Source organism: Homo sapiens, chromosome 9 (genome assembly GCF_000001405.40).
Source record: "Homo sapiens chromosome 9, GRCh38.p14 Primary Assembly".
Lineage (NCBI taxonomy): Eukaryota > Metazoa > Chordata > Mammalia > Primates > Hominidae > Homo > Homo sapiens.
Window position 1 is genome coordinate 129,114,876 of NC_000009.12, and position 27,013 is coordinate 129,141,888.

Here is a 27,013-nt window from a genome sequence, read left to right on the forward strand (position 1 = left end):
TGTTTCATCAGTAATTTGTTATAGTGCTTCCTGGTAAGGTAGCCTTTTCCCAAACATGGACTGGCCTGAAGGCTCTCTTCCTGTGAAATATCCCGGTTAAATAATGTCAGGAGTGCCATCCCTTTTTTTATTTTTATTTTTTGAGACAGAGTCTCACTCTGTCACCCAGGCTGGAGTGCAGTAGCATGATCTTGGCTCAGTGCAACCTCCGAGGAGAGCTGTCCCTTTGCAGAGAATGGTGATCTCACACATATAAAAGGGCTGTATGTTCCCAAAGATTATTTCCAAGTTGATTATTTGGAATGTGGGACACATTTTCCCATAAAAGCAATGTGGTTGGGTTACTAGTCTGACCTACAAAGCTTTTTATTTGGCATCTTAGTTGAAGTGCCAATTTACTAATAGCAGTTTTGGGTTCTGGGAACAGAGCTTGCAGGACAGGTGGGAGGAGGAAGAGAGCTTCTGATCTCTTTCTGGGGCCTTGGTTTGAGTTAGGCAGAGATTTGTCTTTCTCTAAACTCAGGTTCTCTATCCTTCTCCTTAGGTCTCCAAGTCCCCTGGCACTTTTCTTTTCTTCAGTTCCTCTCCAGACAGGCTCTATTTCTCCAAATGTTATATGTTCCAGAAACTTCTTAGGTCCCTGTCCCTTTTTCTCCATGTAGCTGATGTCAGCCAGGTTTTAGGAGGAAGGCAGGGGGACAAATTTATACCAGGTTGTGAGTGATTGATGATAGTCCTTTACTCTTCCACTTTAGGGAGAGTTTGCATTTTTTTTTTTTTTGAGATGGAGTTTCACTCTTGTTGCCCAGGCTGGAGTACAGTGGCGTGATCTTGGCTCACTGTAACCTCTGCCTCCTGGGTTCAAGTGATTCTCCTGCCTCAGCCTCCCGAGTAGCTGGGATTACAGGTGCCCACCACCACGCCTGGCTAATTTTTTTGTATTTTTAGTAGATATGGGGCTTCACCATGTTGGCCAGGCTTGGTCTCAAACTCCTGACCTCAGGTGATCCACCAGCCTCCGTCTCCCAAAGTGCTGCGATTACAGGCCTGAGCCACCGCGCCTGGCCAACTGCCTCCTGGGTTCAAGTGATTCTTCTGCCTCAGCTTCGCGAGTAGCTGGGACTACAGGTGTGCGCTACCATGCCCGGCTAATTTTTTTTTTTTGAGACGAGTCTCGCTCTGTCGCCTGGTCTGGAGTGCAGTGGCGCGACCTCGGCTCACTGCAACCTCTGCCTCCTGGGTTCAAGCGATTCTGCCTGCCTCAGCCTCCTGAGTAGCTGGGATTACAGGCACTCGCCACCACGCCTGACTAATTTATTTTTTATTTGAGGCGGAGTCTCGCTCTGTTGCCCAGGCTGGAGTGCAGTGGCGCGATCTCGGCTCACTGCAAGCTCTGCCTCCTGGGTTCACGCCATTCTCTCACCTCAGCCTCCCAAGTAGCTGGGATTACAGGCATGCGTCACCTCGCCCAGCTAATTTTTTTTGTATTTTTAGTAGAGACAGGGTTTCTTTTTTTTTTTTTTTTTTTTGAGACGGAGTCTCGCTCTGTTGACCAGGCTGGAGTGCAGTGGCACGATCTTGGCTCACTGCAAGCTCCGAGTTCCATGTTCTCGCCATTCTCCTGCCTCAGCCTCCCAAGTAGCTGGGACTAAAGCACCCGCCACCATGCCCGGCTAATTTTTTGTATTTTTAGTAGAGACGGGGTTTCACCGTGTTAGCCAGGATGGTCTCGATCTCCTGACCTTGTGATCCGCCCGCCTCGGCCTCCCAAAGTGCTGGGATTACAGGCGTGAGCCACTGTGCCCGGCCACACCCGGCTAATTTTTGTTATTTTTAGTAGAGACAGGGTTTCGCCATGTTGACCAGGCTGGTCTTGAACTCCTGAGCCCAGGTGATCTGCCCACCTCTGCCTACCAAAGTGCTGGGATTACGGACATGAGCCACTTCACCTGGCTAATTTTTAAATTGTTTGTAGAGATGGGGGTCTCCCTGTGTTGCCTGGGCTGGTCTTGAATTCCTGGGCTCAAGCGATCCTGCCGCCTGGGCCTCCCAAAGTGCTGGGATTACAAGTGTTAGCCACTGTGCCTGGTCTAGATTTTCTTCTTTCTACAAGTTATGAAAATTTCCATTATGTGGGCATATAATTAATTACACATCATCTTATCAACTGATATTTGGGTTGTTTCTAATTTTTTTTTGTTTTCAAGACAGGGTCTTGCTCTGTCACCCAGGCTGGAGTGCAGCTCACTTCAGCCTCAGCCTCCTGGGCTCAAGTGATCCTCCCGCCTCAGCCCCCGAATAGCTAGGACTACAGGTGTGCACCACTACACCTGGCTAATTTTTGTATTTTTTGTAGAGATGGGGTTTGGCCATGTGGTCCAGGCTGGTTTCAAACTCCTGGACTCAAGCAATCTGCCTGCCTCGGCCTCCCGAAGTTTTGGGATTATAGGCGGGAGGCACTGTGCCTGGCCTAGATTTTATTCATTTTATAAGCTATGAAAATTTTTATTATGTGGGCCTATCTTTTTTTTCTCTTTTTTAAATTTGAGACGGAGTCTTGCTGTGTTGCCCAGGCTGGAGTGCAGTGGCGTGATCTTGGCTCACTGCAACCTCTGCCTCCTGGGTTCAAGCGGTTCTTCTGCCTCAGCCTCCCGAGTAGCTGGGATTACAGGTGTGCGCCACCATGCCTGGCTAATTTTTTGTATTTTTAGTAGAGGTGGAATTTCGCTATGTTGGCCAGGCTGGTCTTGAACTCCTGGCCTCAAGTGATCCACCCGCCTCGGATTCCCAAAGTGTTGGGATTACAGGTGTGAGCCACCACACCCAGCCTCTTTTTTTTTTTAAGACAGTCTCACTCTGTCACCCAGGCTGGAGTGCAGTGGAACGGTCCAGCTCACTGCAAGCTCTGCCTCCCCAGTTCAAGCGATTCTCCTGCTTCAGCCTCCCAAGTAGCTGGGATTACAGGTGTGTGCCGTCATGTCAGGCTAATTTTTGTATTTTTTAGTAGAGATGGGGTTTCAATATGTTTCCCAGGCCTGGTCTGGAACTCCTGACCTCAAATGATCCACCTACCTCAGCCTCCCAAAGTTCTGGGATTACAGGTGTGAGTCACCATGCCGGACCTGGGCATATCATTATTTACCCATTGTCTTATCAACTGATATTTGAGTTGTTTCTTTTTTTTTTTTTTCCCCCGAGATGGAGTCTTGCTCTGTCAACCAGAGCTGGAGCGCAATGGCACGATCTCAGCTCACTGTAACCTCTGCCTCCTGGGTTCAGGCAATTCTCCTGCCTCAGCCTCCTGAGTAGCTAGGATTACAGGTGTGCGCCACCACACTTGGCTAATTTTTGTATTTTTAGTAGAGATGGGGTTTCACCTTGTTGGCCAGGCTGGTTTCGAACTCCTGATCTCGTGATCTGCCTGTCTTGGCCTCCCAAAGTGCTGGGATTACAGGTGTGAGCCACCACGCCCAGCCTATTTGGGTTGTTTCTAATTAATAAAAAATTTTTTTATTTGAGTCAGAGTTTCACTCTTGTTGCCTAGGCTGGAGTGCGATGGCACGATCTTGGCTCACTGCAACCTCTGCCTCCTGGTTCAAGCAATTCTCCTTCCTCAGCCTCCCAAGTAGCTGGGATTATAGGCATGCGCCACCACACCTGAATAATTTTATATTTTTAGTAGAAATGGGGTTTCACTATGTTGGTCAGGCGCATCTCCAACTCCTGACCTCAGGTGTGATCCACCCACTTTGGCCTCCCAAAGTGCTGGGATTGTAGGCATGAGCCACCGCGCCCCGCCTAAAATTTTTTTTTTTTTAAAGTAGAGATGGGGTCTCGCTGTGTTGCCCAGGTTGGTGTCAAACTCCTGGACTCAAGTGATCCTCCCACCTGGGGCTCCCAAAGTGCTGAGATTACAGGTGTGAGCCACTATGCCCAGCTTTTTTTTTTTTTTTTGATGCATTAAACACCTTTGTGTTTCCGTGAGCACATCTGAAAGATAGATTCCTGTAAGTAGACCTGTTGACTCATTGTGTATATGCAGTTTTTTATTCCAAAAGATTGTCCCCTTAGGAGGTCCTTCCCACCCACAGAGCGGGAGAATTCTTGTTTCCTCTTCCTGGAATCTTGTTTTGTTTTTATTGAGACAGAGTCTCGTTCTGTTGTCCAGGCTGGAGTGCAGTGGTATGATCTCAGCTCACTGCAACCCCCACCTCCTGGACTCAGGTGATCCTCCTGCTTCAGCCTCCCAAGTAGCTGGGACTACAGGTATGCAACCACACCCAGCTAATTTTTAAATTTTTTTTGTAAAGATGGCGTTTTGCCAAGTTGGCCAGCCTGGTCTTGAACCCCTGGCCTCAAGTGATCTGCCTGCCTTGGCCTCCCAAATTGCTGGGATTAGGTATGAGCCACCACACCTAGCCAGATGTTTTTAATTTGCCAACCTTATCCAGAAAGAGAAATCACATATAATTTACGTGTCCGTGCTTATTCAGGAGGTTGGCAATTTATTCCAAATGTTTACTGCAATTAGGTTTTTTTTTTTTTTTTGAGACGAAGTCTCGCTCTGTTGCCTGGGTTGGAGTGCAGTGGTGCAATCTCGGCTCACCACAAGCTCCGCCTCCCAGGTTCACGCCATTCTTCTGCCTCAGCCTCCCAAGTAGCTGGGACCGCAGGCGCCCGCCACCACGCCTGGCTAATTTTTTTGTACTTTTTTAGTAGAGATGGGATTTCACCATGTTAGCCAGGATGGTCTCGATCTCCTTACCTTGTGATCTGCCTGCCTTGGCCTCCCAAAGTGCTGGGATTACAGGCGTGAGCCACCGCACCTGACCTGTTTTTTTTTCTTCTGTGAATTGCCTGTGTATGTCTGAAACATCAACTTGGTTTTATTTTTCTAACGGTTCTGCTCTGGGGGGGAGAGGGAAGGGAGGGCATGGTTATTGAAGGGATTGTCAGTATTGCCCTTCTCTTTCCTCCCCAGAGTGAGGGAGGGCAGGAGGCTGTGGGTTTGGCTTAACAAGCCCTTACTCTGTCCTGGAAGTATGTGTCTGGTTTATTCTAAGGCTCAGGTGTTGGAGTCCTGGTTTAAAAGTGAGAGAGAGGCCGGGCGCTTTGGCTCATACCTGTAATCCCAACACTTTGGAGGCCAAGGCGGGTGGATCACCTGAGGTCAGGAGTTTGCGATCAGCCTGGCCAACATGGTGAAACCCCGTCTCTACTAAAAATGCAAAAATTAGCTAGGCATGGTGACATACGTCTGTAATCCCAGCTACTCAGAACACTGAGGCAGGAGAATCGCTTGAACCCGGGAGGCAGAGGTTGCAGTGAGCTGAGATCGCGCCACTGCACTCCAGCCTGGGCGACAGAGCGAGACTCTGTCTCAAAGAAAAAAAAAAAAATTAGCTGGGTGTGGTGGCACGTGCCTGTAATCTCAGCTACTCAGGAGACTGAGGCAGGAGAATCGCTTGAACCCTGGAGGTGGAGGTTGCATTGAGCCAAGATCGTGTCACTGGACTCCAGCCTGGGCAACAAGAGCAAAACTCCGTCTCAAGAAAAAAAAAAAAGGTGAAAGGGAGTGTGTGTGTTGTAGGGGAGGATTCTATTTATCTGTTTGTTTTTTCATTTTTTTTTGTCAAGATTCTTCAGAGGAGGCCCCTCCAGCCACTCAGAACTTCATCATTCCAAAAAAGGAGATCCACACAGTTCCAGACATGGGCAAATGGAAGCGTTCTCAGGTACCATTTGGAACTGTGGTGAGAAACTTGGGCTTTTCAAAGACAGTGGTTTTCCTAGCATGACGGGCGGTGAGTTCCTGGCCCTTCTTGCTCTTGGAGCCTGACTTTTCAGAAGCTAGGGAGAAAGGTGACAGGGGAGCTGGCTGTCTCTTCCCTTCAGAGGCAGTACTCAGAGATGCTTTATCAGGAAGGTTGCCTACTTTTTCAGGCTGCTGCCAGGGTAGCCCGGGAGAGTTCCGCTCCTGGTTCTCTTAAGCCATTGCCCCTTGAGTGTTGCTGTATTGGCTGAACATGAGTGTTTGAAATGATGGAGCGAGTCACTTTGATTCTTGGCTGCAAGTAACAGCAAGTGTGGCAGCCAGTGCCTCAAGGGGAGAAGAGGCTATCTCATGGAAACTTTGGCCAGGGATATGGCTAAGCCTGCAAATACCTGGGAGCTGGGACCCAGAGCACTGGGCACAGACTGGCTTTCTCTGCTGCTCAGCTGAAATGATGGGCAGAAGATAACTACTTGTACCTCTCAGGCTTGTGGTACAGGCTGTGGAAAGACAGACTGAGCAAAAGAAAGCCAATTTCAATTTCTCAGGGAAGGCCTCTGGCCCAGTTCTCGTCAGGCTCCTGCTCCCGGCCTGGTGAGCTGGGCTGGAGAGTGTTGCTCATGCAGAAGGCTGGGCACAGGGGTCCTTGCATGCTGGGCAGATTCTCCAGGAGACCCACACCCTACAGCTTCTATGCCTTGTCCTCACTGGGGCTTGGGGCCATCTAAACCTGTCTGATTCCTTTTTCACAAGCCTGCCCTCTCAGTATTTGGAAATAGTTATCATGTCTTTTCTGAATCTTCACCAGGATCAACAGTCCCTTCAGCCTAGGGGGCAGCTTGGTCCCTTCAGCTGCTCAAAGGATATGGTTTCAGTCCTTTCATCATCTTGGTTGCTTTACCTCGGGGCATCTCAATGTCAGCACTATGGACATTGAGGGGCAGATAATTCTTCATTGTAGGAGGCCGTCCTGTGCCATGTAGGACGTTTACTAATATCTCTGGCTTCTACCCACTAGATGTTGGCAGCATGCCTTTCCCCAGCTGTCACAACTAACATTGTCTCCAGATCTTGTCAGATCTTCTCTGAGCCAGATTGCTCTAGTTGAGAACCTGCTTCTTTGTCTGAATCCAAATGTGACACTTCCTTTGCTGCTTCTCATCCATGTGTTCCAGTGTAGCTGCAGTCAGGACAGGGGCTCAGACTTGCCCTGGTCTGAGAGAGTTGCTTTGGAGAGGCCTGGCCTGCTGGGGGTCATCCCATGGCTGGCAGGAGGATCTTGGTATAGGAATACTTCCTTCTAGATATCAGGGCTTGTCTCAGGGCTTACTGTGGACACCCCGGCTTGGATAAGGAGAAAGGAAGAAAGAGAGAGGAAAAAGGGATGAAGAAGAAACAAAACCAATCAGGAGTCACTTGTTCCCAGCAACTGCCTCTCTAGGGGCCTGCACCTCAATGCTATTTTTTTTTTTGAGACAGGGTCTCACCCTGGCCCCCAGGCTGGAGTTCAGTGATATGATCATGGCTCTCTGCAGCCTCCACCTCTTGGGCTCAAGCAGTCCTCCCACCTCAGCCACCTGAGTAGCTGGGACCACAGGCACGTACCACCACACCTGGCAAACTTTTTAATTTTTTGTAGAGATGGGGTCTCACTATGTTGCCCAGGCTGGTCTCAAGCTCCTGGGTTCAAGTGATCCTCCTGCATCAGCCTCCCAAAGTGCTAGGATTACAGACTTGAGCCACAATACCTGACCCTCAGTGCTTTCTTATCCCTGTGTTGGGTGTAACTGCAGCCCAGCAGGGAAGAAGAGTGTCTAGTTGAAAGCTGGGAATGGTTGTGTGGGGAGACCTGTCTGTGGCAGGCATCTGCACTCCAACTAGACAGCCTGGCCCGCCTTTGGTCGCTGATTGCTGGGGGTGAGACACTTGGTGGTACTCCTTGAATTCCTGGTGGTAGAGCATCATGGACAAGCATGTGCCCACTCAGCTTTGAAGTTAGGCTACTGGGTCCTAGCTCCATGTCTAATGATATCTTGGTCTTGGGAGACCTTGGGCGGATCACTTCTCTTGAAATCTTGGTTTCCTCATCTGTAAGATGGCGCCAGCAGTGTCTACCTTATAGGGCTATTGTGTAAAAAAACTGCTGGCAGCAATAGTGAGTACTTGGTTCACTCTGGCTGGAGATCAGCGTGTTGCTGTGGTCACTGTCTTGCCAGCTTTTCTGGAGGGTAGGGGTCGGTATTTGGCATTACGTTTCTGCTTCTCCTGCTATTGGGTTGGGAGTCAGGGTCAGGAGAAGTAGAAAGCTCGGAGCTCTTTGGTAACCTGGTGGAGCTCGGGGCAGGTGGGGCGGGGGGGTCTGCCACCCCTCTCCCCATCCCCATTCTCCTCTCTGTTTGGTAGGCATACGCTGACTACATCGGATTCATCCTTACCCTCAACGAAGGTGTGAAGGGGAAGAAGCTGACCTTCGAGTACAGAGTCTCCGAGGTAGGCCCAAGGAGGAGCTGCTGCAGCAGCCTTTCCAAAAATAGCTCCAGAGTCACTGGGTGCGGTGGCTCACCTCTGTAATCTCAGCACCTTGGGAGGCCGAGGCAGGCGGCTCACGAGGTCAGGAGATCGAGACCATCCTGGCCAACATGTGAAACCCCATCTCTAGTAAAAATACAAAAAATTAGCCGGGTGTGGTGACGGGCGCCTGTAGTCCCAGCTACTCAGGAGGCTGAGGCAGGAGAATGGTGTGAACCCAGGAGGCAGAGCTTGCAGTGAGCTGAGATCGCGCCACTGCACTCCAGCCTGGGCGACAGAGCGAGACTCTGTCTCAAAAAAAAAAAATAGCTCCAGAGTCTTGTGGGCTCAGTGCCCACCACGGGGCCAGAGCAGAAAATAAGATCGCCCAAATACATGTGCACTTCACATTTTCATATCTATATTTCTAATTTTTGAAATCTGTGAATAGATGGATATTTATAAAATTGAGATCAAGGTAAATATGCTGTTTTGTAGTTAGTATTTTTGCTAATTGGTTTTTTCTTTCTTTTTTTTTTATTTTGAGACGTAGTTTTGCTCTTGTTGCCCAGGCTGGAGTGCAGTGGCGCGATCTTGGCTCACCAAAACCTCTGCCTCCTGGGTTCAAGCGATTCTCCTGCCTCAGCCTCCTGAGTAGCTGGGATTACAGGCGTGTGCCACCACACCTGGATAATTTTTTATTTTTAGTAGAGACGGGGTTTCTCCATGTTGGTCAGGCTGGTCTCAAACTCCTGACTTGAGGTGATCTGCCTGCCTCGGCCTCCCAAAGTGCTGGGATTACAGGCATGAGCCACTGCGCCTGGCCTGGTGTTTTTATATAACTTGAAATTAAAACAGATTACAAAACAGTAAATGTGCTCACTGGAGAGATCAGTAATAGACATGTGTATGACATTCACAGCAGAGCTGATCTCTCCCTGTGTTTCTCATACCCAGCTTCCAGGGCAGCCCCTCCTGACAGTGGTCACCCAGGAAAGCAAGAGCTTCTCTTCTCCTGCAGTGAGCTGTGCCCTCATTTATTTATCTTATTTTATTTTTTTTTTAAATATAGAGACAGGGTCTCACTATGTTGCCCAGGTTGGTCTTGAACTCCTGGGCTCAAGCAGTCCTCCTGCCTTGGTCTCTCGAAGTGCTGGGGTGACAGATGTGAGCCACCAAGCTTGGCCCCTCATTTATTTAAACAGCCCATCTTCAGACTTTTAGGTTGTCTTGGTAAACATTGCTCCTCGCATATCATTGCATCCCCGCACATAGATCTGTGGGCCTTGTTTCCGAAGGATTCATTCTTAGACGTGGAAATGTGGAGTCAAAGGGCACATGCATTTTTTTTTTGCGTTTGGGTTCACACTGCCTGGTGGGTGCTTTTTGGACGTTGTTTCAGAGATAGTTTTGTTTGTGTAGAGAGGGCAAGAGCTGAGGGGAGGCAGATACTGATTGGCAGGTGTGGCCTTACTGGCTGTTTGCTTTTGCTGGATGCTGTCTCCCAGGGCTAGGACCTAGGCCTCCAGGAGCCTCTTGGGTTCATGTCCCACCTTGAGTCTCTTATCTCAGACACCAGGGCCTGAAGGGCCTCCCTTTACTTTGGCCTACCCAGCTCTCTAGCCACAGCCTTGGACCTGTTGGGTAAGATGTAGCCCTGCCCTGGCCCAGTTTTTCCACCTGCCCCAAGATTAACACTGTGTGCCTCACCCTCATACCCGGCCCCTGGCAGAGCTGCCTATTGCTGGGCCTGTCTGGCTATTAGGTGACCTAGGTCCTGTTCTGTCCACTTCAGGAGAACCAGGCCTGTGCTTCTGGTAGACAGCCTTCCCTTGGGAGCCAGGCCCATTAGTGGCTTTTTGGGTTCCTTTTGGGCTCACTCAGTCCTTTGGGACTGAGGCTCTGGGTGCAGGATGGCTGGGGAAAGAGGGGGTTCCTCCTGGAGCCTGTGGTGAGGGATGCTCAGCTGTGCTCAGTGGGCCAGGAATGTCGTGGAGGAAGGCTAATTAAAGGGGAAGGTTGTAATTACCCCAGCAAATCCTTAGCTGCCAAGTCCCCTAATTGCCCGTGGCTTTGATGGTAGCCATCCACACCAAGCAGGTATTGTCTTTTTTTTTTTTGAGTTTTTCTTGTTACCCAGGCTGGAGTGCAATGGCATGATCTTGGCTCACTGCAGCCTCCACCTCCCAGGCTCAAGCGATTCTCCTGCCTCAGCCTCCCGAGTAGCTGGGATTACAGGCGCCCACCACCACACCCGGCTAATTTTTGTATTTTTAGTAGAGACGGGGTTTCACCATGTTGGGCAGGCTGGTCTCAAACTCCTGACCTCAGGTGCTTTGTCCTCCCAAAGTGCTGGGATTGCAGGCGTGAGCTGCTGCGCCCGGCCCAGGTATTGTCTTAGCTCAAGGGCTGTACTTTGGCAGGATTGCAGTGTGGTTACATGCTTGGGTTCTGGAGTCCAGCTGGCTAGTTTCATAACTTGTGAATCATTTTTGACCCTCTGTTTCCTCATCTGTAGAGTGGTAAGAGTCAGCAGACTAGTCATGGCCCCCTGGGGAAAATTCACTGAGATCCCACGAGTAGTGGTTGTCTTTTGCATAGCGCCTAACACATACTAAATAAATACTTCGATTGTTATTAGCTATTGTTACCATTAGGCATTAGTCAGTTCTAATTTTCAATAGTGTTGTTGCATAGAAAGCTAGCTTTTGGCTGGGCGCGGTGGCTCATGACTGTAATCCTAGCACCTTGGGAGGCCAAGGCGGGTGAATCATGAGGTCAGGAGTTCAAGACCAGCCTGGCCAACATGGTGGAACCCCGTCTCTACTAAAGATACAAAAAGTTAGCTGGGCGTGGCGGCAGGCACCTGTAGTCCCAGCTACTTCGGAGGTGGAGTCAGGAGAATCCTTTGAAACCCGGGAGGCGGAGGTTGCAGTGAGCCAAGATGGTGCCACTGCACTCCAGCCCAGGCGACAGTGCGAGACTTCGTCTCAAAAAGAAAAAAAAAACTAGCTCTTATTTTTTTATTATTTATTTATTTTTATTTTTATTTTTATTTTTGAGATGGAGTCTTGTTCCCCAGGCTGGAGTTCAATGGTACGATCTCGGCTCACCACAACCTCCGCCTCCCGGGTTCAAACGATTCTCCTGCCTCAGCCTCCCGACTAGCATGTGCCACCATGTCCATCTGATTTTGTATTTTTAGTAGAGATGGGGTTTTTCCATGTTGGTCAGGCTGGTCTCGAACTCCCGAACTCAGGTGATCTGCCCGTCTTGGCCTCCGTAAGTGCTGGGATTACAGACGTGAGCCACTGTGCCTGGCCAGCTAGCTCTTATTTTAAATGATGCCTGTCCTCCTCTTATGGGGGTTAACATTTTCGATTTTTGCAAAATAAATGTGATAAGAGATTTATTTTTGTTGTTGTTGTTCTGTTTGCTTTTTTAAAACTTACAAGGGGGCAAAATTCAAAAATGGTCAGTAAAATGTTAGGGAAGATTTTACTGGTCCTTGAAATCCAAAAAGGAAACACTGGCCTAGGGAGAATGGGAGAGCTGGAGTTGTTCTTTGTGCCTCGAAGGTGTTTCAGCCCCAGTTCCCTTTCTTTCAGCCCTTCTCTCCCAACACAGCAAACAATAGAGGCAGCCCCTACAACATTCAAAAAGCCCTCTCCTGAAGAGGAGCTGGGAGCCTTTGAATTATTCATTGGCCCAGCTGAGCTAGCAGCTGGGGCCTGGCTCCTGTGACTCCGTCTTCTCTGTCCCCTTCAGTGCCTCGCCTAAGACTGAGATCCCTGGGGAATCTGGGGCTGACTAGTGCTTCCTGGGGCCAAGATGACTGTGCCATCCATTGTAAGCCCCCGTTTCTGCATGGGTTAGGTCTGGCCTGTGCTTATCAGCCATTCCTGGTTTTTCACAAAGCCAGGCTCTGGCAGCGCTCTCACATTTCAGCAAGGCAGCTTTATGCCATCCTAGCCCTCTGCCTTAGCCAGGTGTAAAGGGAAATTTATCCTCTTACAGGCTACTTTTTCTGTCCTCCCATGCCCCAAGCCTAGATAAAGGGGAGATAAGAGAGAGCAGCACTCAGGGCCGGTTTCACATATGCAGCTGGGGGCATGGCCAGCCTGTTTCATTAGCTTAAGCCTGCCTCTCCCCAGGTACATACATAGCTCTTGGCTGAGTCTTTGCACATGGCAGGCCTGGTCTGCCTTGCCCTCCCAGGCGCAACTTCTCATGTGGGCATCACCCTGCTAGTTCTTACCCAGTGCCAGGATTTCCTGTAAGTTTCTTATGCCGTTTGTTTCCATAGACACAGGCAAGATCCACTTCCTGGCAGGGACTCTTTTCTCAGGACTGAATGGCTGCAGATAGCCTCCGCGTTGTATTTTCCACCGGCCCTGGTGCTGGGCTATTTCTAAAAGCCAACCTGGAAGGAGCACCTTCTAACTGATCTTTGGGTTGGATAGACAGCCACCCGATTTCTTCATTGAGTAACATTTTATGTGCCAATGCTGCCCGCACCTCTGACTCCGATTCTACTTCTTGGTCCCTGTCTTCTGTGGGAAAGGTGTAGGGGGATGGGCTCTCAAACTCTGCCACCCTACAAAGCATTGCACACGATGATCTGGCATTTCCACAAAGATTGAGTTGCAAGCTGATTTACCATAGCATTGTGTATGAAATAGGTAGTGAAACAGGTGGAAATAACCCAAACATTTAACAGTGAGGAATTAAATTAATTATAATGCAGTGGCACGATGAAATGTTATTCACTTAGTAAAAGTTGTCATAAGATTATGTTTATATGTAGATGTGGAATGAGGTTCATGAGGAAAAGGAGCAGGCTGCAAAGCAGAGTGTGTCCTGCGATGAATGCATACCATTACCCCGCGCCGGGCACTGTGCACCTTCGGAGGTATTTATCATCAGCCCCATTTTTTAGACGAAGAAACTGAGAGGCTCAGAGTTAGTCACTTGCTCAAGGTCTCACAGCAGCTAAATGGTGTTTTAGCTGGGGTTTGAATCCAGGCCCACCATGCTAAACCATGTAAAACACTATGAGAAGATAACACAGAAGGGTATGTTAAAATGTTTAGTGTAGGCCAGGCACGGTGGCTCACGCTTGTAATCCCAGAACTTTGGGAGGCCGATGCAGGTGCATCACTTGAGGTCGGGAGTTTGAGACCAGCCTGACTAACATGGAGAAACCCCATCTCTACTAGAAGTACAAAAATTAGCTGGGCGTGGTGGTGTGCGCCTTTAGTCCCAGCTACTTGGGAGGCTGAGGCAGGAGAATCGCTTGAACCTGGGAGGCAAAGGTTGCAGTGAGCCGAGATTGCACCACTGCACTCCAGCCTGGGCAACAAGAGCGAAACTCTGTCTCAAAAAAAAAAAAAAAAAGTTTAGTGTATTTCTGGGTGGCAGGATTACTGGTCATTTTCATTTTCTTCTGTTTATATTTCTATTTTTTATGATGAGTAGGTATTGCATACTGAACAAAAGGCTTCCATAAAGTCTTTTTAAAAAGATGTCAGGGCTGGAGTTAGCTTCTCTATAGCAGCAGCCCATGGGTAGGCTGCCTACAGAAACCAGGTGCTAAAGCCACCCCGTCCCTGTCCCATCAGCCTAGTGTGCTTCCCTCTCTGGAAAGCCTATCATGCTCTCCTGACCCTCCTTCATATTCAGAACAGTGGGGAAGAAAGAGGGATGGGGGAGAGTTCCCAGTAGGGGCCATGCCAAGGGGTCATTGTCTGGCAGCAGTGGACTTCCCTCTGTGGCTAAGCGGGAGCCACTTGCTCTGTAGCTTGGACCCCTCTATTTTGCCTCCACAGGCCATTGAGAAACTAGTCGCTCTTCTCAACACGCTGGACAGGTGGATTGATGAGACTCCTCCAGTGGACCAGCCCTCTCGGTTTGGGAATAAGGCATACAGGACCTGGTATGCCAAACTTGATGAGGTGAGGCTGCCACAGGACAGGCCAGGGACTGGGCTGGCAGTGAGGGTGGTTCTGGCACCAGTTGGGGAAGGGCCTGCATTGTATAGCGCTTCTAGGCATATACAAATCTCAGTTTGTTAAAATGTCAATTTCACTTAGCAAAATTACAAATGAGTTTATACTCTGCTTGGTCATCTTCTGGGAAACACGACTGTGCACATACGGCCCTCTGCACTACAAGGCTGTTTATTAAGTCACTGTATTACAGCAAACTGGAAATGTTCCAAGTATCCATCTGTAGGGGATTATTTAAATAAATTAGTCCATCAATATCATGGAGTACTGTGCAGCTATAAAAAGGAATTTTTTTTATTTTTTATTTTATCTTTTTTTTTTTTTAGACGGAGTCTCGCTGTGTTGCCCAGGCTGGAGTGCAGTGGCGCAGTCTTGGCTCACTGCAAGCTCCACCTCCTGGGTTCACGCCATTCTCCTGCCTCAGCCTTCCGAGTAGCTGGGACTACAGGCACCCACCACCACGCCCGGCTAATTTTTTGTATTTTTCGTAGAGACGGGGTTTCACCGTGTTAGCCAGGATGGTCTTGATCTCCTGACCTTGTGATCCGCCCATCTCGGCCTCCCAAAGTGCTGGGATTACAGGTGTGAGCCACCACGCTCGGCCCCAAAAAGGAATTTTTTTCATAGCTGGGCACGGTGGCTCATACATGTAATCTCAGAATTCGGGGAGGTTAAGGCGGGAGGATCACTTGAGCCCAGGAGTTTGTGAGTAGGTTGGGCAACATAGCAAGACCCCGTTACTGCAAAAAATAAGAAATGGTGGTGCACACCTTTGGTCCCAGCTGCTTGGGTGGCTGAAGCAGGAGAATGACTTGAGCTCTGGAGTTTGAGGCTGCAGTGAGCTATGATGGAGCCATTGCACACCCACTTGGAATGCTAGCTGCATACTCCATGGTGTGGATGGACTAGTCTATTGAACTGATCCTCTACTGATGTTTTTATTTTTGAATCTTACGAAGGTGTTACCTATTCAAAGCAAACAAAAATAAAAATGCAGGATCTCAGACCCTGTCTAGAAAAGCAGAGTCTACAGGTCTGGGTAGGGACTGGGAACCTGGATTTTTACTAGCTTTCCAGGAGATGGCTCATGCCAGTTGTCTACAACTGAGCTTAAGGAAATTTGGGTCCTAATTGCTCTGGCCCAATATTTTCACATAGAGCAGAGGGGAGGACTCAGGACCCAGTGAAGTGCTGTTCCCAAGAGACGCCCGGGCCTGCCTCTGGACTCTTAAGATGGTACATGATCTTTTTTTTTTTTTTTTCCTGTTGTTCAGGCTGGAGTGCAGTGGCATGATCTCAGCTCCCTGCAGCCTTGACCTCCTGGGCTCAAGCAATCGTCCTGCCTCAGCCTCCCAAGTTGCTGGGACTACAGCATGCGCCACCATGCTTGGCTAATTTTTGTGTTTTTAGTAGAGACGGGGTTTCATCATGTTGGCCAGGCTGATCTCGAAATCCTGGCCTCAGGTGATCCGCCCACCTTGGCCTCCTAAAGTGTTGGAATTACAGGTGTGAGCCACTGCTCCCAGCCTTAAGTTATATCTTAAAGCTGACAAATCATAGCTTTACAGCTTGATGGATTTTTACATGTTTTTACTCATGGACTCACCACTCATGCCAAGTTTTTTACCCATGGATTCACCACTCATGTCAAGCAATAGAACATTCTAGCTGGAGTGCTCCCCTTCCCAATTGATATCGCCCAGATTATTCTGATTTCTATTCCATAAATTGATTTTTTTCCATGTTTCTGAACTTCGTATAACTCTCTGGCTTCTTTTGCTCAATGTCATGTCTGAGATTCATCCATGTTTTCATGTCTAGCTATAGGTCTTTTTCTTTGCTGTGTAGTATTCTATTGTATGAATATACCACAATTTATTCATTTCACTGTTGATGGACATTTCCATTGCATTTCCACCTTTTGGCTACTCTAAACAGTGCTGTTGTGAACATTCTTCTGCACGTCTTTTGATGGCACATGACACCAGCTCTTGCTGACCTGAGAGTGTGAAGGAAGGTGGCCTGTGTGGGAATCATAGCACTGACCTTCCAGAGTCTCTGTGGGGCTCCAGTGAGTTACCACATGGGAGGGTTGAGGCTTTTTTCCAGATTCCTCCTGTTTTGCCCCTAGACTCCTGTGCCCTGGAAAAATCAGTTGATGATAAGTCGCCTGGGTAGTCTTCTGCTGTGGAAGAATAAATGCTGTCCCTCCCCTTCCTTCTGTGGCCTGTCAGAACAGGAACCAAGCTGGCCTGGCAAGGCAGTGTGGGCCCCCAGTCAGGTGCTGCCCCTGGGCACCTGCCCACTGGGATGCTGCTTAATATGCTGCCACCACTTTGTGTCTCTTGTGTTACCAGGAAGCAGAAAACTTGGTGGCCACAGTGGTCCCTACCCATCTGGCAGCTGCTGTGCCTGAGGTGGCTGTTTACCTAAAGGAGTCAGTGGGGAACTCCACGCGCATTGACTACGGCACAGGTATCTGCTGCTTGTGGGGCTCTGTACTTATCTAGCTTCACTGCTTTCTGTTTTGGGCTTCAGGTGGTCTCTGGGCCCTCTGAGCAAGTGAGAGCAATCAAGAATTCGCCAAGCACCTGCAACCTATTGGGGCCAGCTGGGGTTAGGGTGGCTTCACCGGCAGGGAGGGCGTAGGCATGCAGGGAGGCCCGGATGCTGCAGCTCTGCTGTGGTCCACCAGGGGGAGCTGATGCCCCGTGCATGGTGCTTGCGCAGCGCTGCTTTCTGTTCTTGTGAAAATGGTCTCTGAGCTCCTCATCATCACCAAAATAATTATTAATTGAGCACTTACTGTGTGTCAAGGCAGCAGCTTACTGAAGCTTTGAGAAATGGGAACGCTTCTTGGTGGCCTTTGCAGTGTCGTGGCACACCCTCTCCCTTGAACCCCTTGTCTCTTAGCCACATTCTCTGTGCTATTGGGCTGTTTGGATCTGTGGTCCATGTAAGCCAAGGGACCTGGACTTTGAGGAGAGGGAGTGTGTGGACACTTTAAAAGGGAAGTGTAGACAGGTGCAGTGGTGCGTGCCTGTAATCCTAGCACTTTTGGAGGCTGAGGGGGAGGATTGCCTGAGCTCAGGAGTTTAAGACCAGCCTAGGCAACGTAGCAAGACTCCATCTCTTTTTTAAAAATTTATTTTAAGTTATTTTTATTTATATATTTATTTTTTTGAGACAGGGTCTTGCTTTGTCACCCGGGCTGCAGTGCAGTGATGTGATCTTGGCCCACTGCAGCCTTGACCTCCCGGGCCCAAGTGATCCTCTCACCTCTGCATCTCCCCACTCCCCAGTACCTGGGACTACAGGTGTGCACCACCAGCCTGGCAATTTATTTATTTATTTGAGACAGAGTCTCACTCTGTTGCCCAGGCTGGAGTGCAGTGGCATGATCTTGGCTCACTGCAACCTCCACCTCCTGGGTTCAAGCGATTATTCTGCTGGGACTATAGGCACACACCACCATACCTGGCTAATTTTAGTGTTTTTGGTAGAGACAGGGTTTCACCATGTTGGCCAGGCTGGTCTCGAACTCCTGACCTCTGGTGAGGTCACTTCTCCACCCACCTTGGCCTCCCAAAGTGCTGGGACTGGGATTACAGGCGTGAGCCACTGCGCCCAGCTGATTGTTTTGTATTTTTTGTAGAGATGGGGTTTTGCCATGTTGCCTGGGCTGGTCTTGAACTCCTGAGCTCAAGCTGTTCTCCCACCTCAGCCTCCCAAAGTGCTCAGATTACAGGTGCAAGCCACCATGCTGAGACCCCATCTCTCAAAAATATAAAAGGGAGGTGTTCTCTAGGTCAGGGCATGGCCTGTGGAGCCACCATGCTGAGACCCCATCTCTCAAAAATATAGAAGGGAGGCATTCTCTGTGTCAGGGCACGGCCTGTCGAGCCACCATGCTGAGACCCCATCTCTCAAAAATAGAGAAGGGAGGCGTTCTCTAGGTCAGGGCCTGGCCTGTGCAGCTAAGGAGGACCTCTGCTTTGGTGAGGGCCCGCCTTCCTTCCCTGAGGCAGGCAGATGGGGCACCGCTCAGCCCTCCCCTTGTCTGGGGAATGTGATCCACAGGAGGGAGCCCCAGCCACAGAGGCAGGCCCTGGAGAAGGGCCCTCTTGGACCGGGTGGGGCTTTGACTAAGACCAGCAGGAAAAGATCAAAGAGGGAAGACTGGCCAGGTCAGCAGGGGTTGGTGCCCCAGCTGCATGTGAACCCCTGAACAATGGGAGCCTGGGCCCTGTCTGGTCATAATTGGAAACTGTGGCAGGGGAAGGAAACTGAGCTCACAAGCTTCCAGGCCCTGGAGGGGTCTTCGTCCTCCAGAGACAGGACAGAAGTATTCTCTGACACATTCTCTTCTCACCTCCCTCCAGATAGGTTTTGTGTGACATTGTGAACAATGGGATTCAATCACAGTCCAGTGAGTTGTTCCTACAGTGCAGACCATTCCTGTTTGATATGACTGGGAAAGGAAGGAGGATACTTTTTCACCCTGTAATCTGATCATGTGTTCCCTGCTTAGAAGCCTGCAGTGGCTCCCTATTGCTCTTAGGGTAAAGTCTGAGCTCTTTCCTATGGCCAAAAGGCCCATGTGACCTGTAGCCTCCTGTCATTACACGTTCTCCCTTGCTCTCACTGCCTTCGACATACTGGCCTCCTTAGTGTTCCTCAAACAGATCAAACTTTTTCTTGCCTCAAGGCCTGTGCACATGCTATTCCTTCTGGCTAGAATGCATTTCTTGCTTCCCTCACTCCCTTTGCCTTGCCAGCTCACATCTTTCAGATTTCAGATTAGATGTTACTTCCTTAGGGGAAACCTTGAACCCTTACGTCAGGGTCCTTCTGTGATATCCTCCAGTTAGTACCCTGTCTTTCTCCTTCAGAGCTGGAATCATAGTAGTGACTGTATATTTATAATGTCTGTTGTCCCTGATAGATCATAAACTTTCTGAGGGCAAGGACTTACTTGTCACTGTCTCCTAGTGCGTAACATGGACAGTGACTGCTTACATAGTAGGTGCTCAGTAAATATGGTGGAATTGCTGAGTGAGTTAAACCTACGTAATGAAATGTAAATGTCCAGCCCGGGTCTTTTACGAGTGGAATTATAGTACTGGTAGTTCTTTTTTTTTTTTTTTTTTTTTTTTTTTTGAGACAGTCTCACTTTGTCACCCAGGCTGGAGTGCAGTGGCCTTATCATGGCTCACTGCAGCCTCAACCTCCTGGGCTCAGGAGATCCTCCATCTCAGCCTCCTGAGTAGTTGGGACCACAGGCACATGCCACCATGTCTGGCTAATTTTTGTATTTTTTGTAGAGACAGGGTTTTGCCATGTTGGCCAGGCTGATCTCAAACTCCTGAGCTCAAGCAAGCTGCCTGCCTCAGCCTCCTGAAGTGCTGGGATTACAGGCATGAGCCACCATGCACGGCCAGTACTGGTATTATAGTTCTTGAAAGGAAAGGGCCTAGCAAGTCTTTCTGAATGGGGAAGAGGTCTCATTGTCTCCATGTTGACCACCCTCCTCAGAGGGGCACTTATCAATGATTCGGATTCTGGGAGACTAAAACAATCCCAGTCCTTTACCTGGACTACTGTCAACGCTGGTTGTTTTTCTCCTCCAGGGCATGAGGCAGCCTTCGCTGCTTTCCTCTGCTGTCTCTGCAAGATTGGGGTGCTCCGGGTGGATGACCAAATAGCTATTGTCTTCAAGGTGTTCAATCGGTGAGAGAAAGGACAGGAGGGTTGGAGGAGGGGGCGTGAGGGGCCATCTGTTTCCTCCTCAAACTGGGAAATGGGGTGCTCTAGGGTTCTCCTGAGTAGCTCATGGTTCTCTTGTCCTGTCCTAATCAAGCTCTGGCTGTGGATGGAGTGTCCAAGCCTTTTTTCCAACAGGTTCAAATTAACCTCCAAGTAAAAGCAAGTGAAAGAATTGTCACATAGGCCGGGCGCGGTGGCTCACGCCTGTAATCCCAGGACTTTGGGAGGCCCAGGCAGGCGGATCACGAGGTCAGGTGTTCGACACCAGCCTGGCCAACATGATGAAACCCCGTCTCTACTAAAAATACAAGAATTAGCTGGGCGTGGTGGCACTCGCCTGTAATTCCAGCTACTCAGGAGGCTGAGGCAGAAGAATTGCTTGAACCCAGGAGGCGGAGGTTGCAGTGAGCTGAGATCGTGCCACTGTACTCCAGCCTGGGTGACAGAGTGAGACTCTGTCTTAAAAAAAAAAAGAATTGTCACATAATGTCTGCCAGTATTGACACAGTGTTGACCATATGGAGGAAGAATTCTAAGCACTTTATGTATAACTCATTAATTCTAACAACAACCCTATGAAATAGCAACTGTTATTTCCATTTTACATATGAGGAAACTGAGGCACAGAGATATCCGGTGTCTTCACTGGGTTCACGCCAGCTGAACCCAGGTAGTCAGACTCTGACCTGCTGCCCCACACCACCCAAGCCAGTCGCTGGGCAGCACTGATGTGGATCAGTTACCCAGAGCTCTTAAAATCCCCATTGCGGGCCCCAGTCTAGCAGTGCTGCTGCAGCAGGCCTGTGACGGAGCCCAGGAGCAGTGCTCGATGCTTCACAGGTGGTTGATATGCAGCCTCTGATAATATAGAAGGTTGGAACCAGAAGAACCTAGGAGATAACCTGCTGGGACTTGTGTTAGCTTTCAGACAGGCCAACTGAGGCTGGAGAGGCTGAGGCCCTGCCCAGGGTTTTACAAGTTGTCAGGAGTTGATGGCACCAAAACCCACCTTCCTAATCAGTGATTTTTTATTTATTTATTTGTTTATTTTTTTTGAGACAGGGTCTTGCTCTGTCGCCCAGGCTGGAGTGCAGTGGAGAGATCTCGGCTCACTGCAAGCTCTGCCTCCTGGGTTCATGCCATTCTCCTGCCTCAGCCTCCAGAGTAGCTGGGACCACAGGCGCCCACCACCACACCTGGCTGATTTTTTGGATTTTTAGTAGAGACGGGGTTTCACCGTGTTGGCCAGGATGGTCTCGATCTCCTGACCTTGTGATCCGCCTGCCTCGGCCTCCCAAAGTGCTGGGATTACAGGCGTGAGCCACCGTGCCCGGGCCCTTAATCAGTGATTTTTATGCCTTTCCTGAGCCAAAAGATGGCTGAGTGTTTGTTGGGGGAAATAAAGCTACATTATTGAAATTGAGACCAGTTAACACTCTTCAGTGGTTATTTTGGGGTCTCCTTGTGCTCCCAGTGGCCGAAAGGGTGAGACTGTCTTTTTACTTTTTGCTACCTTCCCTTTCCCTGTCCTCCTGTGCAGGTACCTTGAGGTTATGCGGAAACTCCAGAAAACATACAGGATGGAGCCAGCCGGCAGCCAGGGAGTGTGGGGTCTGGATGACTTCCAGTTTCTGCCCTTCATCTGGGGCAGTTCGCAGCTGATAGGTACTAGAGCGGGAGGTGCCTATCCCTCCACCCCCAACCAAGGCTGCGTTCTGTGGCCCTCCCCTGCCCCTCCTGCGCTCCCTCCTTCCCTTCTTCCTGCCCAGGGCAGACAGTGACAGCTTGGAAAGCAGGGCATTAGACCAGCTATTGAGGGAGGCTGTTTACTGTCGACCTTCTGCTGTGAGAGCCCGTGTGGTGGGCTGGAGGAGGCGGAGGCCAAGCGCCACCAAGATAATGGGAAGTGACATGGGCTGGAGCAAGGGCGCACGCCTGGTGCATAATGGACTGGTGTGAAATGCGCCCCAGCTCCTGGCAGCAGCTGTGGGGTTTTATGTTGAAAATGAGGGACCCTTTTGATTTGGTGACCAGTGTCATCCACTGTTATTATCGAGCTGTGTGCAAAGGGGCCCGTTAGGGAGCAGCCGCCAAGTGCTGGGTGGTGGGCCTGCTTCCTGTGGGGCTCAGAGAGGCCTGCTCTGGTGACTCCCCAACTCTTGAAGCTAGTTTTCAGGATGGGCGTAGGTGATCATCTCTATTTTGATGAAGAATGAACTGCCTACAGACTGATATTCATAAATGACCATTAGTTGTGGCCTCGGGTGCATTGCCTCCCCGAATCTTCTCAGTGACACTGCGAAGGGTCTGCCAGCATGAAGCCGGCTCTGCTGACTGGCACCTGCACCAGGCACCATACTGAGTGCTGTAGGTGTGGTAATTGTTGTCATGGCCCCTAGGAGGAGGTGCTCTTCTTGTCCCCAGTGTCCAGGTGAGGAAACTGAACCTTGGCAGGCTGAAGTCATGCGTCCAACGCCATGCAGCTAGAGCTTAGCACATTAGAATACACAAACCCAGAGTTACTTATTGCTCCTTCAAGGTGAGGTGTTGAGGGCACCACGGGCAGGACTGAGGCCCCTGGGGGGGTGTGACTGCTGGGCCGGGTTGCCCAGGTAGTCGTGGGGCCTGGTTCTGAATGCTGGGGCCCATTCCTTTTCCCAGACCACCCATACCTGGAGCCCAGACACTTTGTGGATGAGAAGGCCGTGAATGAGAACCACAAGGACTACATGTTCCTGGAGTGTATCCTGTTTATTACCGAGGTGAGGAGGAGGGGTGAGAGAGAAGCCCATGGCTGCCTCCAGGCTCAGATGAACCAAGGCTGGTGGCCTTACAGTGGATCAGAAGAGCCAGAGCTGCTGCCCAAAATGGCAGGGCCGGCCGGAGCGGGTTATTGAAAAGGAAGCACCACTGGGCCTCTTCCGAAAGAGCCGCTGCTGACTGTCAGGTCCTCCGCCCAGTTCTCCTTCAGTTTCTCCTGAACACCACAGGAGTCTTGAGATGAGGGTCTAAGACTTGGTCACTAACTGGCCTTGGTGACTGCTGCAGCAGGTCTGAAAGGGTCGGGGCGGGCGGAGGTTTGTGGGGGAGGGTCAGCATCTTTCGGTGGGGCCCCACAAGGGTCTGTAGAACCATGTGCTGTGGATGTGTAAAATGAAACCACCAGAGGAGATGGAGCGAACTTCTGGTGCAGACAGCTTTTCTGTCGAAGGGACACGTCTCTGTCAGTGCCTGAGGACGTGGGCCCGAGCAAAGTGCTGGAGTGGGAGTGCGCAGGCCTGGCCTGTGGTGGCAGTCACTGGATAGCCAGCCCCACGGCTGGGTTCTGGAACTGGAAGTTATTGTCTCACCAAGGCAGGATTCCTTGCAGTGGGCCCTGGACCACTTGTGCGAGATCTCCTAGTGTGTTTGTTAAAACGCACATTCCTGGGCCCTCCATCCCAGCTTATTGCATCAGAATCTTAGGGGACAAGAGCCAGGAACCTGCATCTAAACACACGTGCCAGGCGACTGCACAGGAAAGCTGGGGACCCTCTGCTCTCTGGACCTCTCTTGAGGGAGGTGTTAGGACTTCTCATCCTCTCTGCCATCCCCATGCCCCAGTTTCCAAAGGGCGCCCTCGCTCAGCTATCTGGAGAGGGTTTGAGAGTTCTATCCCTCCTCAGTCCCTTTCCCGACACCAGCACGGATGTCTGCTGCCTCAGTGAGGTTCCTAGCAGGCCTGTGGATGCTGGCCACGGGGGCTGCTCTCCGTCCGGGCTGTGTATTCTGAGCCCCCGACGAGGTGGAGAAAGCTGGGTTATAACCAGCAGCCTTGGCTCCAGGCTCTTCCTGGTCAACATTCGGCTCAGGCTTCTGCCAAACTCCAGAGGCCAGAGGGGAATGACACATTTTTTCCAAGTCAGCAAATGGAGCCGGGACTGACGGCTGGGCGGCCACCACTTCATTCCCGGAGATCTGCTGCCCTCAGCAGTGTGGCAGGCCCAAGGTCGGGAGGACTTGGGGGCAGCCTGGCTCACTGCCTTGAAAGCCAGTCACGCGCTGCTCTCTGTGGAGTGGAATGTGGGGGTCTGCGGAGCCCTGGGGGACCTCAGGATAAGCTGGAGGAGCAGGGTGGGAAGAAGGGTGCAGATGCCACACTGAGTTCTTGGGTGTGGCTGAAAGGCTGAGCTGTTTGGGCTCCCCCGGCGGCTGGCCAGGCCTCTGGGTCCCTGTCGGTATTCTAACTAGGAGGCATGCCAGGCCTGGCCTCCAGGATTTTGGGAATTGATTCCATGGTAAAATTTTGTCTTTAGTTGGTTGGTTGATTTTGTTGGTATAAACACCCCAAAAGCTTTTCCAAAGTTTGGGACCCAGTTCCTCCAGTAGAGGAAATCTCAAAGTAGCCACTAGGTGGCAGGAGAGGCACACTGAACTTGGAGAGGGTTTGGTGACATTTATTTGAGGCAGCAGAAGGAACAGGGAGGGGAGGGCGTGCCTAGAGTTGTTGGCTGTTCCGCACCTTCTCCACAGGTCCGGGTTTTCACTTTGGGTCTAGGCTCTTGGGCATGGTGTTCAACAGTAGACCCTAGGAGGAGTGTGCCCAGGAGCCGGGGTGGCTGCAGCAAGGGCCCATCTTGCCACGTGGCCGCTGGTTGCAGCACACGTTGTGTTGGTTCTCCAGAGCGCCCACCCTCTTCCACCTCGGAGCAGTGAGCAGCATTTTGCAGTCCCTAGTTGGTGAGTGGCCTGGCCTAGCTCACTGGGGACCTGGAGGCTTGCATGGAGTTCTGTACGCCTTGCTTGGGAAGGAGGCAGTGTTTCCTCTGGAGACCCTGGATTCACCATGGTGCTCTTTTAACTGGGAGATTAACTAAAACACCGAGAACTTGGGAGTGGAATCAGGCAGCCCTTTCAGGGTCTCATGCCAAGACTGCCCTGATACCCGTGGGCATCCTAGGTGAGGGACCCCACCTTGCAGGGCCTCTACAGCCTCTGTAAATGCAGCCCTGGCGCCTTTAAGAGCCCAGGGCAGGCAGGAAAAGAATTTCAGTTTCAATCTGGCTTCTAAATTTGGAGTTTTGGGAAGGGAGGGATCAGATTTCAGCTGGAAGGGAAGGAGCTGACAGGAAGGCGCTGTGCAGAGCCTCCCCACCCCCGCCCATCCCCCCAGTTACTGACAGAGGAGCCATTTACAAAAGGCCGATTCTCTGGGGAGTGGAGAGGCAGGAACGCAGCGTCTGTGAGTAATTTCCTGCTCAATATGGCTGCTCTGACTCACACGATTCCCCTGGGGTCACTGCGGGCTGCAGCTCGCTCGCTCATTCTGGTTCTTTCTCTTCTCCCTTTGTGGCTAGAATGAGCTAATTTTTTCTTTGTCTTCCAGCCCCGATTCCTTTTTCTCCCACTCGTCTGTTTTCCTTTGCCAGAGTTACAGGCAAAGGACTGTAACCTCCCTGAAGGACTTAGGGAGACCCTGGGGTACTGAAGGCCTGGGGGCAGCCTGCAGCCCCTCCAAAGAAACTACCTCTCTGGCCTTTCTGTGTGTAGGGGCCCAGGGCCACTGGAGCTCCAGGACATGGGCCTAGCCCTGGCTCTGCCAGAGGCCTTTTGAGGATCTGTTCTTTGGCCCTGGTAGGCGAGGCTGGCCAGGAGGCAGGGGCTCTTGTCTTCCAGTGCCCATCTGCCTGCCTTTGCCTCGGAGCCCTTGCCGGGCAGGCCCCTGGCAGACAAAGCCGACAAAGCCGACAGGGTGCCTCCTGGTTGCTTGCTCAGAGGGCCCTGTCCAGAGAGTGAAACTGGTTACACAGCTCCATGCTCCCTGAGCTTTCCTGGGCCTGGAAGTGTGCACAGGGCTGGAGCCTGCAGACTGGGGAAGGGGTGGGGTAGGGTGGGGAGGTGGGGGAGGGGCTGGGGGTGGAGTGTGGTTGAGCAGGGCAGTTGAAACAAAGCTCCCCAGAGGTGAGGCCCCTGTAGGCTCGGGGTGCCTGGCTGCCCTCCTGGAGGAGAGAGCCTGGGGTGATTCTGAGTGAAGCGAGTGGTCCAAGACAAGGCCCCCAGGGACCAGAGTGGGCTTTGTCTCTGTTGGGTGCCTCGGGCTCTTGCCTGGCTGTGGTGGAGCCTGGGAGAGAAGAGGAGGGGAGGGAGGAGCCTGTTGTCCTTGCTCCTGAACATGGGTGTTTGGATGGGCTTTTTGGGAACCTGGGCCAGGGGAGGGAAATGAGGGGGATAAAATGACAGGTTTTTTTTGACTTAAATCTTAAAAGTTTTGTCACAGTTGCCCTTACTAGAGAAGTAAGAGGCCTGCCAGGAGTGGGTCACCAGGTGGCAGCCCATGGCTCAAGAGTGGGGGCTCCTGAGGGCTCTTGTGGTGAACTGATGCCCCTTTTTGGAGAGCGTTTCTGGCTTATCTTTTCTCCTTCAAAAAATAACCCAGTCTCCCCTGACACCCGCATGTTTCTAGAACCTTCCAAGTCTCTGTTTCTTTGCCAGATTCAGCCTCTTTGCAGAGTCTTCCTTCTGCAGCATGGGTCTGGGGTACAGAGCCCTGTTCCCCTGTAAATGCTGCCTATGAGCTGGGGGGCTGTGTCGAGGGGAATTATGAACTGCTTGGTTAATAAATACAAATGTGCTGGACTTGCGGTGTCAGGGGGATATGCTCAGGCACACAGGCGTCCCTCTGTGGTTTCTGACGTCATGGGAACTTCATGCTGGCTGCAGAATCTTTCTCTTCCGTCCTGGAGGGTCAGACTCTTTGGCAAGAGGGAGGACCAGGAATGGAGCCGTCCTTGTGCCTGCCTCTTTCAGCTGCTGTGGCGGCCACCCCTTCCCCACCTCCTGGCCAGGCCAGGCTGGCTGCTGCTTCAGGCACCCCTGCCTCCCATCGGCCCTCTCTTCCCTGCCTGCATGGCAGGCAGAGGGCTGTCGGATACCTGGGTTTGGTCATACCCACCTTGGTCCTCTTGCAAATTGACCCTTT

General features: G+C 51.0%; 1 protein-coding gene across 11 annotated transcripts in view, besides 12 other annotated features; it reads left to right on the top strand.

Moving 5' to 3' along the window:
• The window catches only part of PTPA (protein phosphatase 2 phosphatase activator), a 37,997-nt gene that overhangs the window by 3,926 nt on the left and 7,058 nt on the right, over positions 1 to 27,013 (top strand). For 4 of the 11 annotated variants that reach the window (NM_021131.5, XM_011518834.3, NM_178000.3 and 1 more), the window contains 7 exons: positions 5,638 to 5,735; positions 8,177 to 8,263; positions 14,110 to 14,235; positions 16,647 to 16,764; positions 19,920 to 20,019; positions 21,596 to 21,720; positions 22,717 to 22,817. In NM_021131.5, the coding sequence (NP_066954.2) occupies positions 5,638 to 5,735; positions 8,177 to 8,263; positions 14,110 to 14,235; positions 16,647 to 16,764; positions 19,920 to 20,019; positions 21,596 to 21,720; positions 22,717 to 22,817 (755 nt within the window). Of the gene's footprint in view, positions 1 to 5,637; positions 5,736 to 8,176; positions 8,264 to 13,088; positions 13,194 to 14,109; positions 14,236 to 16,646; positions 16,765 to 19,919; positions 20,020 to 21,595; positions 21,721 to 22,716; positions 22,818 to 27,013 lie in introns of all 11 variants that reach the window. The other 7 variants (XM_047423560.1, XM_047423559.1, NM_178001.3 and 4 more) reach the window with 3 other exon arrangements.
• Positions 11,971 to 12,893: an enhancer, noted in NCBI's record as "OCT4-NANOG-H3K27ac-H3K4me1 hESC enhancer chr9:131889125-131890047 (GRCh37/hg19 assembly coordinates)". NCBI's record gives its function as "activates a minimal SCP1, AML or CMV promoter by ChIP-STARR-seq in primed H9 embryonic stem cells {active_cell/tissue: H9 hESC(primed)}" and the evidence as "EXISTENCE:reporter gene assay evidence [ECO:0000049][PMID:30033119]".
• Positions 16,655 to 17,209: an enhancer, noted in NCBI's record as "H3K27ac-H3K4me1 hESC enhancer chr9:131893809-131894363 (GRCh37/hg19 assembly coordinates)". NCBI's record gives its function as "activates a minimal SCP1, AML or CMV promoter by ChIP-STARR-seq in naive and primed H9 embryonic stem cells {active_cell/tissue: H9 hESC(naive and primed)}" and the evidence as "EXISTENCE:reporter gene assay evidence [ECO:0000049][PMID:30033119]".
• Positions 16,901 to 17,102: a silencer, noted in NCBI's record as "fragment chr9:131894055-131894256 (GRCh37/hg19 assembly coordinates)". NCBI's record gives its function as "represses an EF-1alpha promoter that drives an FKBP-Casp9 reporter gene in an ReSE screen in phorbol 12-myristate 13-acetate-treated (for megakaryocytic differentiation) K562 erythroleukemia cells {active_cell/tissue: K562(+PMA)}" and the evidence as "EXISTENCE:reporter gene assay evidence [ECO:0000049][PMID:32094911]".
• Positions 18,303 to 18,803: an enhancer, noted in NCBI's record as "H3K4me1 hESC enhancer chr9:131895457-131895957 (GRCh37/hg19 assembly coordinates)". NCBI's record gives its function as "activates a minimal SCP1, AML or CMV promoter by ChIP-STARR-seq in naive H9 embryonic stem cells {active_cell/tissue: H9 hESC(naive)}" and the evidence as "EXISTENCE:reporter gene assay evidence [ECO:0000049][PMID:30033119]".
• Positions 23,613 to 24,240: an enhancer, noted in NCBI's record as "H3K27ac-H3K4me1 hESC enhancer chr9:131900767-131901394 (GRCh37/hg19 assembly coordinates)". NCBI's record gives its function as "activates a minimal SCP1, AML or CMV promoter by ChIP-STARR-seq in naive H9 embryonic stem cells {active_cell/tissue: H9 hESC(naive)}" and the evidence as "EXISTENCE:reporter gene assay evidence [ECO:0000049][PMID:30033119]".
• Positions 24,709 to 24,798: an enhancer, noted in NCBI's record as "active region_29104". NCBI's record gives its function as "activates an Ori minimal core promoter by ATAC-STARR-seq in GM12878 lymphoblastoid cells {active_cell/tissue: GM12878}" and the evidence as "EXISTENCE:reporter gene assay evidence [ECO:0000049][PMID:35858748]".
• Positions 24,871 to 25,498: an enhancer, noted in NCBI's record as "NANOG-H3K27ac-H3K4me1 hESC enhancer chr9:131902025-131902652 (GRCh37/hg19 assembly coordinates)". NCBI's record gives its function as "activates a minimal SCP1, AML or CMV promoter by ChIP-STARR-seq in primed H9 embryonic stem cells {active_cell/tissue: H9 hESC(primed)}" and the evidence as "EXISTENCE:reporter gene assay evidence [ECO:0000049][PMID:30033119]".
• Positions 24,919 to 24,968: an enhancer, noted in NCBI's record as "active region_29105". NCBI's record gives its function as "activates an Ori minimal core promoter by ATAC-STARR-seq in GM12878 lymphoblastoid cells {active_cell/tissue: GM12878}" and the evidence as "EXISTENCE:reporter gene assay evidence [ECO:0000049][PMID:35858748]".
• Positions 25,259 to 25,418: an enhancer, noted in NCBI's record as "active region_29106". NCBI's record gives its function as "activates an Ori minimal core promoter by ATAC-STARR-seq in GM12878 lymphoblastoid cells {active_cell/tissue: GM12878}" and the evidence as "EXISTENCE:reporter gene assay evidence [ECO:0000049][PMID:35858748]".
• Positions 25,499 to 26,128: an enhancer, noted in NCBI's record as "NANOG-H3K27ac-H3K4me1 hESC enhancer chr9:131902653-131903282 (GRCh37/hg19 assembly coordinates)". NCBI's record gives its function as "activates a minimal SCP1, AML or CMV promoter by ChIP-STARR-seq in primed H9 embryonic stem cells {active_cell/tissue: H9 hESC(primed)}" and the evidence as "EXISTENCE:reporter gene assay evidence [ECO:0000049][PMID:30033119]".
• Positions 26,019 to 26,068: a silencer, noted in NCBI's record as "silent region_20362". NCBI's record gives its function as "represses an Ori minimal core promoter by ATAC-STARR-seq in GM12878 lymphoblastoid cells {active_cell/tissue: GM12878}" and the evidence as "EXISTENCE:reporter gene assay evidence [ECO:0000049][PMID:35858748]".
• Positions 26,526 to 26,575: an enhancer, noted in NCBI's record as "active region_29107". NCBI's record gives its function as "activates an Ori minimal core promoter by ATAC-STARR-seq in GM12878 lymphoblastoid cells {active_cell/tissue: GM12878}" and the evidence as "EXISTENCE:reporter gene assay evidence [ECO:0000049][PMID:35858748]".